The sequence below is a fragment of the Homo sapiens genome, chromosome 6, assembly GCF_000001405.40.
Source record: "Homo sapiens chromosome 6, GRCh38.p14 Primary Assembly".
Taxonomy (NCBI): Eukaryota; Metazoa; Chordata; class Mammalia; order Primates; family Hominidae; genus Homo; species Homo sapiens.
Genome location: NC_000006.12, coordinates 35,831,034 through 35,847,564, shown reverse-complemented (window position 1 = coordinate 35,847,564; position 16,531 = coordinate 35,831,034). Strand labels below are relative to the sequence as shown.

The 16,531-nt window shown below is 41.0% G+C and overlaps 1 protein-coding gene across 2 annotated transcripts in view, besides 1 other annotated feature; it reads left to right on the top strand.

Annotated features, from left to right (window-relative positions):
- The window catches only part of SRPK1 (SRSF protein kinase 1), an 88,133-nt gene extending 73,534 nt beyond the window's left edge, over window positions 1–14,599 (top strand). For both annotated transcript variants that reach the window (NR_034069.2, NM_003137.5), the window contains exons 14-16: window positions 4,961–5,030; window positions 9,136–9,228; window positions 12,077–14,599. Coding sequence is in view for 1 of the 2 variants with exons in the window: in NM_003137.5 (NP_003128.3) it covers window positions 4,961–5,030; window positions 9,136–9,228; window positions 12,077–12,261 (348 nt within the window). In the remaining variant the exon portion in view is untranslated. The remainder of the gene's footprint in view (window positions 1–4,960; window positions 5,031–9,135; window positions 9,229–12,076) is intronic.
- Window positions 4,311–4,466: a silencer, noted in NCBI's record as "fragment chr6:35810876-35811031 (GRCh37/hg19 assembly coordinates)". NCBI's record gives its function as "represses an EF-1alpha promoter that drives an FKBP-Casp9 reporter gene in an ReSE screen in K562 erythroleukemia cells {active_cell/tissue: K562}" and the evidence as "EXISTENCE:reporter gene assay evidence [ECO:0000049][PMID:32094911]".

Below are 16,531 nucleotides of genomic sequence, written 5' to 3'. Positions count from 1 at the left end.
AGTCCTAACGGGTTTTTGCTGGAGTCTTTAGGGTTTTCTATATATAGGATCATGTCAGGCCAGGCTTGGTGGCTTATGCCTGTAATCCCAGCACTTTGGAAAGCTGAGGCAGGAGGATCACTGGAGCTCAGGAGTTGAGACCAGCCTGGATAACATAGCGAGACCCCATTTCTACCAAAAGAAATGAAAAAATTAGCCAGATGTGGTGGCACATACCTGTAGTTTCAGCTACTTGGGAGGCTGAGGAAGGAGGATCACTTGAGCCCCGGAGTTGAGGCTACCGCAAGCCATGATTGTGCCACTGCACTCCATCCTGGATGACAGAGCAAGACTCCATCTTGCCAAAAAAAAGTTATGTTATCAGCTAACTGACATTTGTACTTCTTTCTTTTCTGTTTGGCTGCCTTTTAATTGCTCTAGTAAGGACTGCCAATACTACAATACTATGTTGAATAGAAGTGGGGAGAGTCTTGTTCTGGATTTTAGAGGAAAAGCTTTCAATTTTTCACCATTGAGTACAATGTTAGCTGTGGCCTTCTTAAATATGGCCTTTATTGTGTTGAGGTACATTCCTTCTATACCTAATTGTGTGAGCATTTTTATCATGAAAGGATGCTGAATTTTGTCACATGCATTTTCTCCATCTAATAAGATGATCATATGGTTTTTGTCTTTTTTTGGCAGTAGCAGGGGCAGTTTGAGACAGATTGCTGTTACTTCTTCGTTATATGTTTGGTAGAATTCAGCAGTGAAGCCATCAGGTCCTGGGCTTTTCTTTGATGGGAGACTTCTTATTACAGATCTAATCTCTTGTTTCTATTTCTTCATGGTTCAATCTTTGTAGGTTATATTGTCAAGGAATTTTTCCATTTTTTTCTGGGTTATCCAATCTGTTGCCATATGATTGTGCATAGTAGTCTCTTATCCTTTGTAGTTCTGTGGTATTCATTATAATGTCTCCTCTTTCATTTCTTCATTTCTGATTTTTTTAGTCTTTTTTTTTTTTTTGGAGACACAGTCTCACTCTGTCATGCAGGACGCAGGTTGGAGTGCAGTAGTACAATCTCGGCTCACCCTCCTGAGTAGCTGGGACCACAGGCATGTGCCACCATGCCTAGCTAATTTTTTTGTATTTTTGGTAGAGACGGGATTCACCATGTTGCCCAGGCTGGTCTCGAACTCCTGAGCATGAGTGATCCACCTGCCTCAGCCTCCCAAAGTGCTGGGATTACAGGCATGAGCCACTGCGCCTGGCCTATATTCAAATTTTTATACAACATATCTTTAGATTTTTTTTTTTTCTTAAGAGATGGGATCTCACTGTATTTCCCAGGCTGGTCTTGAACTCCTGGGCTCAAGCAATCCTCCCGTCTTGGCCTCCCAAAGTGCTGGGACTACAGGTGTAAGCCACCCTACCTGGCCTCTTTAGAAATTTTTTATCTTTCTAAACTGAAACTCTATATACCATTGAAGAAAAACTCCGTGTTTCCCTTTTCCCCTATTCTTTGGCAACCTTTTAAATTTAAAACAGACTTTATTGTTCCAGCCTCCAGCCCTGCTCTGGAATTTTACTTCCCTTTGGTATGGATTGTTGAAGACAGGAAATTTGAATCATCTGTTAATTCCTTTTTTCTAAAATAACATTTCCAGCACTTCAGCCTTTCTTAATGTGGTCAAACCTGGGGTCAAGATAAGGGCCCTTAAGTTAATACATTGAGCACACCTGCATCTCTGCAGAAGGCCAAGCATCAGGACTCTGACTTGTCTTCCTCACTTTGAGACAGCCATTGGCCAGCCCATTGATACAGATGATGGACATGTTACTTTATAGAAACAGCTCTTACCTGAAACTCCTCATTTTCTGTTTGGTAATCACTCCTTGGCATTCTGACCACACACAACCATATTGCTTATGAAATGCTAGATTGCCCCTCAAGCTGTGTCAGTATTCCTTTCTGCTACCTGGAGTTTGCAATTTACTTCTGGATCTGAATGTAATTAGTCTGTTTAAATTGTCATTGTTTTAACTTTTCCATGCATTTCATGCTATCTTCTAAGCCATTCTTCTCAAAGGCAATAGTCTAGAGAAGGTTAACAAAGGATGGTACACTGGTTTTATTTGGGTTTGTTTCTTAATAGACTTTATTTTTTAGAGCAGTTTTAGGTTCACAGAAAAATTGAACAAAAAGTACAAATAAGTTTTATATGCTCCCCACACACAGAGCCTCCCCAACTGTCGATCTGCTGCTCCAGAGTGATACATTTGTTACAAACAATGAACCTACATTGGCACATCATTATTAACCAAAGTCAGTAGTTTACATTTCATTTCACTCTTTTAGAAGTTTTGACAAATGTATCTATCATTATTATATACAATATCGTTTCACTGCTCTAAAACTCCTCTGTGCTCTGCCTATTCATCCCTCCCGTCCCCCACTCGCTGGCAACCACTGATATTTTTATTGTCTCCATAATGTCAAATAGTTGGAATCATACAGTATGTAGCCTTTTTAGATTAGGTTCTTTCACTTAGTAATATGCATTTAAGGTTCCTCCATATCTTCACGGCTTAATAGCTCATTTCTTTTTAGCACTGAAGAGTATTTCATTTTCTAGCCTCCTGAATAGCTGGGACCACAGGCGTATAGCACTGCCGCGGCTGGCTCTGTGTTTTTTGTTTTTTGTTTTTTTTAACTTTAATTTCAGTATTTTTACTGAACTCTATATATGAGACCATGAGATTTTTTTTTAAAGTACTGGTATCAGGAATGATTGACAAGTTTTGGTGAACAAGAATCATGATTTGTTTCTCTGTTGCTTTGGGACTATAAACCTCGGAACAACTCAGGGTAGAACAAGTATCTGCTCTATCACTGTGGTTCAGTTTCTTAATAAACAACTGAAATGTAAAATAAGCAATGCCAAGCAAGAAGCCATAGCACTGCTGACATTTAGAGATAGTATTTGATTCCTAAACCTATCCTGAAACTTCTGGTTTTGTGGTCTCCCTCTGGACGGTAGTACAGTTTTGAGAAAGGCTGTTCTGTCATGAAACTGCAGAAACTGACACTGGTGAGCCACCAGGACCTAAACTTGGGTCTAAATTGAGAATATGCCCCAACTAAGTCCTGGACTCTACAGTTCTTGAGGTTGTTTGGACTGCTTAGTACCATTGATTTAATCAAAATTGACCTATGACTAGCGCTTATTTTATAACTGTGCTTCCCTATCAATAAGGTCATTTTTTAAAACTGCTGTTGGCCAGGCGTGGTGGCTCACACCTGTGATCCCAGCACTTTGGGAGGCCGAGGCAGGCGGATCACGAGGTCAGGAGATCGAGACCATCCTGGCTAACATGGTGAAACCCTGTCCTACTAAAAATACAAAAAATTAGCCGGGCTTGGTGGCGGGCACCTGTAGTCCCACCTACTGGGGAGGCTGAGGCAGGAGAATGACATGAACCTGGGAGGCGGAGCTTGCAGTGAGCCGAGATTGTGCCACTGCACTCCAGCCTGGGCGACAGAGCGAGACTCCATCCAAAAAAAAAAAAAAAAAACTGCTGTTGTGTACTAATTTTTAAAACTCCATTTGTAATCAGTGAGGATTTATGTAGCCCTGCTTTTCATTCTGCATGGCACTTATTCCCAAGGATATCATTTCCTAAGACACTCTCGAGCACTGTAAGAGGTTTTTCTATTAAAGGAGACAGGCTTTTCTTTTCCTAATTAGGGAGTGCTGACTTGCCAGTCACATAGGCTAGGCTCCTGACTCCCTTTACACTTAATCTTCTGATTTTCTAAAGACCTACGAATTGGCCAGGCATGGTGGCTCACGCCTGTAATCCCAGCACTTTGGGAGGCAGAGGCGGGTGGATCATGAGGTCAAGAGATTGAGACCATCCTGGCCAACATGGTAAAACCCCATCTCTACTAAAAATACAAAAATTAGCTGGGCGTGGTGGCATGCACCTGTAGTCCCAGCTACTCCGGAGGCTGAGGCAGGAGAATCACTTGAACCCAGGAGGCAGAAGTTGCAGTGAGCTGAGATCATGCCAGTGCACTCCAGTCTGGCCGGCAGAGCAAGATTCCATCTCAAAAACAAAGGACCTAGGAATCAGGAACTTCCCATCTGGGACAATCTAGGGAGTACTTCCTATGCAAAAGTTAATGATGTACTTGTCAAACACTAAAGAGTCATAAGTAGAAGTCTGAATTTTTTTTTTTTTTTGATTTTTTTTGTTTGGTACAGAATCTCAATTTCTAGCCATGTGTGATTATAATGTAAGAAAGACCTGGGCTGGGCGTGGTGGCTCACACCTGTAATCCCAGCACTTTGGGAGGCCAAGGTTGGCAGATCACGAGGTCAGGAGATTGAGAACATCCTGGCTAACGCAGTGAAACCCCATCTCTACTAAAAATACAAAAAATTAGCTGGGCGTGGTGGTGGGCACCTGTAGTCCCAGCTACTCGGGAGGCTGAGGCAGGAGAATGGTGTGAACCCAGGAGGCGGAGCTTGCAGTGAGCCGAGACCGTGCCACTGCACTCCAGCCTAAGCAACAGAGTGAGACTCCGTCTCAAAAAAAAAAAAAAAAGACCTGTTCTTCTCATGAATAATAACTTAGAATCACCTTAATATCCAGGTATGCCCCTTTCCGGCCAAAAAAGGGAAACTCAGGAGGGCTGAATTGCTAGGGTTTAGGGTGGGGAGGTTTGGGCATGAAATAACCCACATGTTAGTATTTACTGAGTCTTTGCTGTTTTCTCCATTTTATTAAGATAGGGATGTGGAAGGAATGCTTTAGGAATAATCTTAAGTTTTTGTTTTTTTTTTTTTTTAAATGATCTATAAGTTTTCCCAAGGGAACAAGAGTTACTTCATATTGAGCCAAATAGCAATCAGCTTTCCAAAGGCCTTCTTTTCTTTTGTGCTTTCATATACTGTCCTCTTTTTTTTTTAGGCCTTTGAACTGGCCACAGGTGACTATTTGTTTGAACCTCATTCAGGGGAAGAGTACACTCGAGATGAAGGTGAGTCCCCTTAACCATGGATGTGTGTGCGTGGTATTTACACTTTCCACATTAAGCTAACATCATTTGTTAGTACCGAAGAGCCTTAGTCTTGTTAGTGTGCAAAACATGTAAATCCCAGAAAAGTTAGAAATATAAAAGACATTTTATATTAGGTTTTTAGATATTTTCTGAAAGATACTAAAGAGCTCTGTCAGAGTCAAAAGGCCACAGTTCACCTAAAACTTCTGTGTGCTGGACAATTTTTTCTTCAACATCTAGTTATCTTCCTTTCTGTATATATCAGTGGTTCATTCTTTACCCAGTTTTTTACCTGCTCATCAACCTGTTGCTCAATTATGCCTCCAAATTTATTTAGAGGTCAGTTATTTTAATATACACACACTACTTGAATGCAGAGACTATATCCTATTTCTATAAATTCTGCCAAAATTTAGCATTCTTTTTTCCCTTTTCTGAATATAAAACTAATTTTTTCTTTTTTGGAATTCCATTTTAAAACAAAGTAGAATGGATTTACATGTTGTGGTAGCCAGTGGGAAAAGCCTAGGCTGCCAGTTACTTTGTCTGAGAGACTGTGGAAGCAGCAACTGTGTGTGTCTGATTTTTCTATTATGATGGCATCCAGATAACTAAATGAGTTAATAATTTGAATGAACAAACAAAATGGTTTTGTGATTTTTTTTTTTTTTTTTTTTTTTTTTGAGACGGAGTCTCACTCTGTCGCCAGGCTGGAGTGCGGTGGTGCGATCTCGGCTCACTACAACCTCCACTTCCCTCGTTCAAGCGATTCTCCTGCCTCGGCCTCTCGAGTAGCTGGGACTACGGGCTTGTGCCACCATGCCCAGCTAATTTTTGTATTTTTAGTAGAGACGGGGTTTCACCATGTTGGCCAGGATGGTCTCTGTCTCTTGACCTCGTGGTCCACCCACTTCAGCCTCCCAAAGTGCTGGGATTACAGGCGTGAGCCATCACGCTCAGCCAAGAAAATGTTTTATACAGTTGAGGCAGCTTATGTTTTAGTTGTAGGATTAATGAGGATTATTTTGAGATATCACTACAGCATCTACCCTCCCAATGTAGAGCATGTTCTTTACTTTTTGTGCTTTCCTTGAATCTTTGGGAATGCATATTTCATGCTGTATGGAACCAAGAGTGCTCTTTGTTTCTCAAAATGTGGTCTTCTGGGATATTAATAGGTAATGTTAGTAGGACCTGCTAATATTCCTAATGAATACCATTTGGAAAATGCTATGCTATGTAATTCCCATGAATGCCTATTTAAGTGGGTAGAGTTTGGACATATTTTGTATATATAAGCCCCATGTTAGAGGATACTATAATTACTACTTGATTTTACCTACTCTCTGCTTGCTATTTTTCTGGGTTATAGGTTTAGGGTTATAGGCTTACAGTGTTTGGGATTATAGGCCTAGAGACTACCTACTATGTTTGTTTGGGAGGGTAATTAATTTTTTTCCCCTTTACTTCCCTAGATTCTCCATAAATGGTAGTGTGTGGTACAGAACACATATAGTGGCTAGAATTATATCGGGTGTTACCTTATGCTACCAAACCTGAAAATTTTAATACATATGCAGAGTCCCAAATAAGGGGACAAGGAAAAACCATCTTCCCTAGATGTTTAAATTCTAATTTATTCCATCCTATACCAGTTAGTACTAATAGTCCTTAGGTCAAACATCAGCCCCACCGATGCTGTTCTGCTGCAGTTTGACCTATAAGAGCAGGAACAAGCAAACCCTTACCCCTGACTAGTGTGTGCATAGTTTGTTACGAGTCGTGGTAGGACAGAAGCCTGAGTACCATGTCCTCTACTCTGGCTTTCCACAGCCCTAACTCATGGGATAATACCTGATAATTTTATCTGTCAAGTATATCAATCCTATCATAAGCCAAAATAGGTTGCAAGAATTAAGTGTAAAGTAACAATTTCAAGGGAATTCCTTGGTATAGGAAAAATATTTAAAGGACCAATATTTTACTTGGAAGTTTACTTAAGTTTCTAAGAACTTTAAGAAGCTCTCTTAGAAATTATAGTCTAAGTTTTTCCTTAGTATTCTTATTTTTGTTATTGTTAATGGTAAAAACACATTTGCAGGTCCTGCCAAAAACCAGCAGAAAATTCTTGGCATGCAGGTACTTGTTACCAAACCATAAATTCAGTCAAAACTGCTCAAAGGTTGTAGGGAAGTCATAAATGTGAAGTCCCCTTTAAATGACACCACTAACTCCTTTACATGAGAAAGATAAAACCTGAAACCTTCACAAATTCCCAGATAATATGGACGTCTCTAGCATGTTATTTCCCCTATAAGATACATAACTGGAAGTTTAAACCTTAATGATTCTGTAACTACACGATAAAAGTATTTTCTAAAGCTTTTTTTCTGGCCAGGAGTATTATGCCCGGGTGTGGTGGTTCACGCCTGTAATCCCAGCACTTCAGGAGGCTGAGGTGGGTGGATCGCTTGAGCCCAGGAGTTTGAGACCAGCCTGGGCAACATGGCAAAACCCCATCTCTACAAAAAATACAGGCCAGGCACAGTGGCTCACACCTGTAATCCCAGCATTTTGGGAGGCCAAGGCGGCAGATCACTTGAAGTCAGGAGTTCGAGACCAGCCTGGCCAACATGTGAAACCCTGTCTCTACTACAGATACAAAAATTAGCTGGACCTGGTGGTATGCACCTGTAATCCCAGCTACTCAGGAGGCTGAGACACAAGAATCACTGGAACCCAGGAAGTGGAGGTTGCAGTGAGCCGAGATCATGCCATTGCACTCCAGCCTGGCGACAGAGCAAGACTCCATCTCAAAAAAAAAAAAAAGTTTTATATTCTTAACTTCTGTCACCTGCAGAGAGAAAAAAAAAAGGGGGGGGGCAGTAGATCTACCTGAGGTGTGTGTACTGGTTGGTCCCAGACTCACCTCCTGGTTAAGAGGCTGCATGCCTCCCTGGTTGTGCTCATGGTCCATATTCATACTGTGATGTTTACAGATCATCAAGCAGCTATACTTTAAAATGTTTGTGCTAATCTTTACTTTTAAAAAGTGATTTTAGGAAGAAATTAAAAGCTTTAGACAAGACATAAGATCATTGGTTTTCATCTGAGTTTTAGCTCATATTAGCCCTGAAGTTTCAAGTTAGGCCATTCATGCTTTTTGAAGTTCTATTTTCTCATCTTTAAAATGGGGTATCAGCCAGGTGGTGGCTCAGGCCTGTAATCCCAACACTTCGGGAGGCCAAGGCAGGAGGATTGCTTGAGCCCAGGAGTTTGAGACCAGCTTGGCAGTATGCCAAGACCTCATCTCTACAAAAAATGTTTTAAGTCAGCCAGGTGTGGTGGCACATGCCTGAAATCCCAGCCACTGGGGAGGCTGAGACAGAATGATCACAAATAATAGTTCTAGAATGCCTAACACATATTTGGACAGTTTTTTATCTTACCTAAAGAACCTACCTGAACCTAGATATATAGACAAAATAGAACTAAAGATGAAGATAAGCCTCCAAAATCCAGAATGGGACTTGCCAGACACTATCGGGTGACCAACCACCTGAAATAATTCTTGGCCTTCCCAGTCAGTCTTCCTTCAGTATCCTTGGTTTTATTTGTAGTTACTTTTAAACAGCTAGTCCTTGAAAAAGCTATTCATAGAAAAACCTCTTTTACAGCTTGTCCTTGATCTGTTCTTCTTACCCTTCTATTTTAGACCACATTGTGCACATTATAGAGCTGATAGGCAGAATTCCAAGACGCTTTTCCCTCAGTGGGAAATATTCACAAGACTTCTTCAGTCACAGAGGTAGTATTGTTATGTAGGACCCAGGGATACTTCAGGAAGCAGAGCATTCACACCAAGATTGTTTTTAGTTATCACTGAATCCACAAAAATTTGACTTTGTGAATTCTCCATTAGATGGATAGAGTCTTCCTCTTCCCATTTAGGATAGAAAGTAAGCCTGATAGGCTTTACAAAGAGATGTGCATGCTGCTCCTTCTGCTGTTTTCTAGAGCTGCATTTGTTACTCTTGTTACGGATCTTTTTTTTCCCCCCTCTTGAAATGTTTGAAATATACAGATCACATTGCATTGATCATAGAACTTCTGGGGAAGGTGCCTCGCAAGCTCATTGTGGCAGGAAAATATTCCAAGGAATTTTTCACCAAAAAAGGTAAAGTAAATGTGTTCCCAGACATTAAGGAGGCAGAAGTGTTTAAAAATGAAGAGGTAAGCACATATTCCCAATGTCCTACAGAATGATGGGCCTGCCTTGAATGCTAACCTGTGACTTAGCAAAGAGATAAAAAAGAGGTAAAAAAAGTGGTCAAGAGCAGAGACTGAGCCGGGCGCGGTGGCTCATACCTGTGATCCCAGCACTTTGGGAGACCAAGGTGGGCGAATCACAATATCAGGAGTTTGAGAACAGCCTGGCCAACCCGGTGAAACCCCGTCTCTACTAAAAATACAAAAAATTAGCTGGGAAGAGTGGCGGGCGCCTGTAATCCCAGCTACTCAGGAGGCTGAGACAGGAGAATCACTTGAATCTGGGAGGCGGAGGTTGCAGTGAGCCAAGATCGCACCATTGCCCTCCAGCCTGGGCAACAAGAGTGAAACTCTGTCTCACAAAAAAAAAAAAAAAGCAGAGACTGGAGCCAGGCATGGTGGCTCACGCCTGTAATCCCAACACTTTGGGAGTCCAAGGCAGGAGGATCACTTGAGTCTAGGAGTTCAAGACCAGCCTGGGCAGCACAGGAAAACCCTGTCTCTACAAAAAAAAATTTTTAATTAACTGGGCATGGTGGTACACACCTGTGGTCGCAGCTACTCCGAAAGCTGGGGTGGGAGGATCACTTGAGCCTGGGAGGTCAAGGCTGCAGTGAGCCATGATTGCCACTGCACTCCAGCATGGGCAACAGAGCAAGATCCTGTCTCGGGGAAAAAAAAGAGCAGAGACTGGAGCCAGACTGTCAAATCCTGGCTACTCCACTAGCCATGTGACCTTTGACAGGATCTAACTGTGCCTCAGTTTGCTGATTTCTTAATGGAGATAATAATAAAGTATACTTCTTACTAACAGTTAATATGTATAGTGCCTGCATGCAGTTGGTTGATTACTTCTATAGCACTTCTGAAAAATGGGCAAATTTTTTGCTGGCGTTTGGTCTAAGAACTGCCTCTACCAAAGGGCAGGTAATTTAAGCTTCTTACATAAGGGCAGGGACTACATCTCACTCATCTTTGCATCCCAGTGACACCTAACACAGTCACTCGAAGTACATTAGTCATACAAACGAACTTCACACTTTTTAGTTTTATGTATTTGTTATTACAAAAAAAACCACAAAAACAAAACTTCCAATTTTTGACTTGATAATATATTTCTTAAGCATTGCAAAAAAAACCTGAAATGTGAAAACCTGACCTAGAAGCATCTAGGAAATGGTCTGGTTTTTCTACCCCCATTGTGCCATGGTTCCCTTTTTCCTCACAACTTCTACAGAAGTGCTGAGAAAAATGACTTTTCTCAATCCTTGGCAGGAGCCATCCTCAGAAACATTACCCTTTCTTAAACCTCTTTTTAGGTGGGAAAATTGTAAAATGTTTCATAAGAGTTCCTCCTCATGTGCAGTCAGATTAAGGCATGTGTGTTTACCAGGTAGGTAATCAAATAGGCACTCACTGCTCACAAAAGAGACTTAAAATTTTTATGTTTAAAAAAAATTATTATTATTATTATTATTATTATTATTATTGAGACAGGGTATCACTCTGTCACCCAGGCTGGAGTACAGTGGCACGATCTTGGCTCACTGCAACCTCCACCTCCCAGGTTCAAATGATCCTCCTGCCTCAACCTCCCAAGTAGCTAGGACCACAGGCATGTGCCACCATACACAGCTAATTTTTTTGTATTTTTGGTAGAGGCAGGGTTTCACTATGTTGCCCAGGCTGGTCTTGAACTCCTGAGCTCAAGTGATCCACCCGACTCAGCCTCCCAAAGTGCTGGAATTACAGGCATGAGCCACTGTGCCTGGCCAACTTAAAATTTTAAAGCAGCATTTGCCTTAGCTATTAATAATTGACTATCTTTTAAAAAGTTGTCACTTCAAAGAAGCAATTAGGTTGATACTCCAGTATAGTGTAGAGCAGCGGTCCCCAATCTTTTTGGCACCAGGGACTGGTTTTGTGGAAGACAGTTTTTCAATGGATGGGGGGGTTGGGGGGTGGTTTGGAGATAAAACTGTGTCACCTCAGATTGTCAGGCATTAGGTTCTTTTATGGAACATGCAACCTAGATCCCTACTGCAGTTCACAGTAGGATTCACGCTCCTGTGAGAATCTAATGCAGCCACTGAGCTGACAGGAGGTGGAGCTTAGGCAGTAATGCTTGCTGGCCCACCACTGACCTGCTGCTGTGCAGACCTGACAGACCGCAGACTGGTACCATAGGGGGTATTGGTATAGAGTTGGGGACCCCTGGTATAGAGTATATGAAGCTGTTGTATCTGAAAACTGTGTAGGATTTGGGGTTTTTTTTGTTGCTTTTATCCATGCTTGACATGATGTTTTAACTTTACTGCCTCACTGTAAAGCAACATTTACTAAACTATTGAGCACATACACAAAAAAAGAGTATAAGCAAATTATTCTCGGTATGTGGTACTAGAGTGTCTCTGCACACCATATAAGACCATGTTGAAGACATAGGCATTTCATGTTTATTTTAGTAGTAAATACCTACTTCTTGATTGTCACACCCAGTTTGACTGGGACCAAAAAAATCCTAGAATAGGGGAGAAAACAAATTACCTTAAATTTTTGGAGCCGTATGAAGAATAGAGGCACTTCTTTCTGAGGCATATGTCAGAAAAGAAATGCTTTGTGAATGAAGGATTAGATTCTGATTGCAAAATTTGATTCCTCATAGACTACATGGGTTAGTTTGTGGGTTTCCACAAGAGTACCTTGTCATTTGTCTGTGTTGATCAGTGGCTTTTTCTGTACTGTCTTCACTGCAGGTGACCTGAAACATATCACGAAGCTGAAACCTTGGGGCCTTTTTGAGGTTCTAGTGGAGAAGTATGAGTGGTCGCAGGAAGAGGCAGCTGGCTTCACAGATTTCTTACTGCCCATGTTGGAGCTGATCCCTGAGAAGAGAGCCACTGCCGCCGAGTGTCTCCGGCACCCTTGGCTTAACTCCTAAGCCCCTGCCCAGCACCACAGCAGAGATCACACACTGACCCTCCGCCCTTCCCCTTCAAGCATTTTCCTCTTCCCTTTTCAGGGTGAAGCTCTTCCTTCAAGAGTTTCTAGATCTTGTTTTTTTTTTAATCCAACATGTTCATTTGGGTTTGCTTACTTGACCCTGTGGAGATCCCCACAGCCATTGGGCATCCTAGGTGAATTTGGCCTTGGTTGGGCTCTGCCAAAGACTAATGGACTAAAATGTGAAACAGCCTCTTGCCCTGTACCTTTCCTTCCCATTAGGACATCCTTTAAATTATAAGCATCCTTTTTGAAAAGAGCTATGAAGGTGTATGAGCCCATCCTTTTATTCATTGACTCTAAGAGTCAAATTTTCTAGTGCATATCCTATTGCCAGCATAAGGATGAGGAGGGGGAAAGGGTCTTAATTCTATGTACAGCAGAGACATTAAACTTGCTGTGTCCGGGCTGCATCATCTTCCTGGACTGTTTCTGTTGTTCTCTGTGTTCACATTTTTTCCTGCAACTTTTAAGCTACTGTCTTTTTTAAATAGCTATATGAACACCAAATTTGGGTACCATTTTATCACTGTTCAAAGCACTGTCAAATTCCTTTCATCCTTTAATAGTTAAGATCTTTGAATCTTCAGTCTGATTTTTAATGTAAGCAAAAACAGAACCATTGAATAGTAATTTCTTGAGAACCTCAGGTGTTCTATAAACAGTCCTTTCCTGTATGTCTTCTATTACCCTAAGACCAGAGTTATTTTGGTTGGTTGTTTTGTTTTATTTTTTGTTTTTGTATCCATGGCTGGCACTTTACTCATTGCACTTGAGTTTATTGCCCCATAACTAAAGGATCAGGATGATGGTAGAACGGAGATCTGGGTTTCAGAGCTTTCCCATTTAAGAAAAATAGATCTTGAGATTCTGATTCTTTTCCAAACAGTCCCCTGCTTTCATGTACAGCTTTTTCTTTACCTTACCCAAAATTCTGGCCTTGAAGCAGTTTTCCTCTATGGCTTTGCCTTTCTGATTTTCTCAGAGGCTCGAGTCTTTAATATAACCCCAAATGAAAGAACCAAGGGGAGGGGTGGGATGGCACTTTTTTTTGTTGGTCTTGTTTTGTTTTGTTTTTTGGTTGGTTGGTTCGTTATTTTTTAAGATTAGCCATTCTCTGCTGCTATTTCCCTACATAATGTCAATTTTTAACCATAATTTTGACATGATTGAGATGTACTTGAGGCTTTTTTGTTTTAATTGAGAAAAGACTTTGCAATTTTTTTTTTAGGATGAGCCTCTCCTAGACTTGACCTAGAATATTACATATTCCTCCAGTAAGTAATACTGAAGAGCAAAAGAGAGGCAGGATTGGGGTCACAGCCGCTTCTTCAGCATGGACCAAGTGGGCCTTGGGGATTGCAGCGTTCTCGAAGTGGCTGTAGGACTCGAATTTACAGAAAGCCACAGAGGTGCAACTTGAGGCTCTGCTAGCAAGCCACCAGTGAGGCTATTGGGTAACCACCTTTCTATACAGGAGATTGGAATCTACTTTGTCATTTATCCACCACAGTGACAAAGGAAAAGTGGTGCCGTTATGCAATCCATTTAACTCATAAACATATTACTCTGAGTAACTGGCCAGCCATTCATCGGATCCTTCATTGGGTACTCCTGAAATCAGACATGTTCCTGTAGAAAGAATTTTAAGTTAGGCTTTCTATGCACCTATCAAGAATCAAGAGAATAGATTGTATCAAACAACGGCAGGGAAATCCTTCAGCAATTCTAATCCACTTTGGGTTTTCAGCTGTTTTTACATCTAAAGCAATAGACTAGAACTGAATTATCTTCTACATAGTAAAATCACAATTGTGGAATTACAGGAATTCTGGTGATATTAAGGTGAAATAACAAAACACAAAAGGCCCTATTTTAACAGTTGATGTGACAGTAAGTTTTAATAGAACCTGTAACTTCATTTTGGAAATGCTTCTCCACCAAATAAGGGCTTTTTCCCCTATTTAAGGAGCCAGATGGATTGAAAGATGTGGAAATAGGCAGCTGTAGATCTTGATCTTCCAGGTACCCCATGTACCTTTATTGAGCTTAATTATAATACTGTCAAATTGCCACGATCTCACTAAAGGATTTCTATTTGCTGTCAGTTAAAAATAAAGCCCTAAATACATTTTTATTCTTTCTACTGAGGGCATTGTCTGTTTTCTTTGTAAATGCCGTACAATAAACAAATTATTTAATAACCTACATGTTTCCAAAAATCTCTGTTCATTTGTTGTCCAAATTGCTCTGCCCTGAGTAAAAGGAGGAAAAGATTGGTTGAGTATGCTTTTTTAATTTAAATATGCAATGAAAGTGTACAAATTGCACACTTGCCATTTTGTGGGGTTCATAGTTTTGCTTCTAGTTTTAAATTGGGAGTGGGGTAGAATTAACAGCCAAATTAACATTTTTGGAATACTGTTTTTCAGCATTTTTTTTTTAATTGTTTTTCCCTACATCCAATAGCACTTTCTTCCAGAAGATTTGTCAGGGGTGGTTGTTTTTCTCAAATTATAAATGCACGGTACGTGCAAAATTCAGAAGACTTAGAAATATAAGCTCTTATTAAGGCAATGGCATGATGTATTACACAGGCTTTCATACACTTATCTCATTTCTTGGATAGATTCTTGAACTGTCTGGGCCAGAGAGCACATTTTTGAGGCTTTTAATAAATATTGCCACCGGGCGCGGTGGCTCATGCCTGTAATCCCAGCATTTTGGGAGGCCAAGGCAGGTGGATCACGAGGTCAAGAGATTGAGACCATCCTGGCCAATATGGTGAAACACTGTCTCTACTAAAAATACAAAAATTAGCCAGGCATGGCGGCGTGCACCTGTAGTCCCAGCTACTTGGGAGACTGAGGCAGGAGAATCACTTGAACCTTGGAGGTTGCAGTGAGCCAAGATCACGCCACTGCACTCCTGTCTGGGCAACAGCAAGACTCCGTCTCAATAAATAAATAAATAAATAAATAAATAAATAAATATTGCCTAACTTATCTGGACAACTAGCAGAATGGTTGGACTGTTTTTCTGTATACACCAATGTATGAACAGGCCTATTATGAATCGCTAGTTTGTGCCCTGCCCCCTCCCCACAGGAATATCGTTATAATTTGCATATTGGATTACTGGTGAGGTCATAAACTTTTCATAGGTATTTGCATTTTTTGATTATTTATGTAAATTGTCCAGCTTTCTGTTGGAGTGCTTCCGTATTTGATGACTTGGTCAGGACTCGTTATATACTAGAGATAATTTATTTTTTGCTTCATACACTTGTCTAGTTTTTAATTTACTTTTCATTTTTATTTGTGGTAGTTTTTAGTGTTATTCATCTTTCCCCACCTACACCTGAACTACATAAATTGTTCTAGTTAATTTGTTTTAATTGTGCAATACTTAGAACACAGTGTTTTCATAGTGTTAAAATGTAACCTATTGGAATCCATGAAACCAGTTTGTTCACCAGACTGACCAACCTAGGCAGGCCCTCCTACACCTTGTGTTAAATATATGGACCTAGAATTCCCAGAATTGGGGGAAACCTTAGTGCTGTTACAGGAGAGCTTGTAGCTATCTCAAAAGAGCCAACAAACAGGTGGGTTTACAACCCCCTTTAATTCTGAATTTGCTCTGCGTGTCCACAGGGAAACTATTTAGCTGCTGCAGAGCAGTCCCAGCTTATAAGTGGACTTCGTTACTGCCCATTCTTTTCTTTTGAAACCTGTACTCTTACCAGTTTAGCCTTATAAGGAAACTGCTTTGCCCTTAGATTATTATATCACAGAAAATTGGTGATTTGCTGATAATCGAACTTACATTTGCTTTAAAATAAGGCCTTATGGCCGGGTGCAGTGGCTCACACCTGTCATCCCCACACTTTGGGAGGCCAAGGCAGGAGGAGCACTTGAGCCTAGGGATTCAAGATCAGCCTGGGCAACATAGTGGGACCCTGTGTCTATAAAAAATTTTAAAATTAGCCGGATGTGTTGGCTGGCACCTGTAGTCCCAACTACTCAGGCTGAGGCAGGAGGATTGCTTGAGCCCAGGATTTCAAGGCTGCAGTGTGCTATGATCACGCCACTGCATTCTAGCCTGGGCAACAGCATGAGACTCCATCACTACAAAAAAAATTTTTTTTAATAAGACCTTAAGGCACCAGAGAAGCTTGAATAGTCAGTGCAGTTTGGGAGATAGCA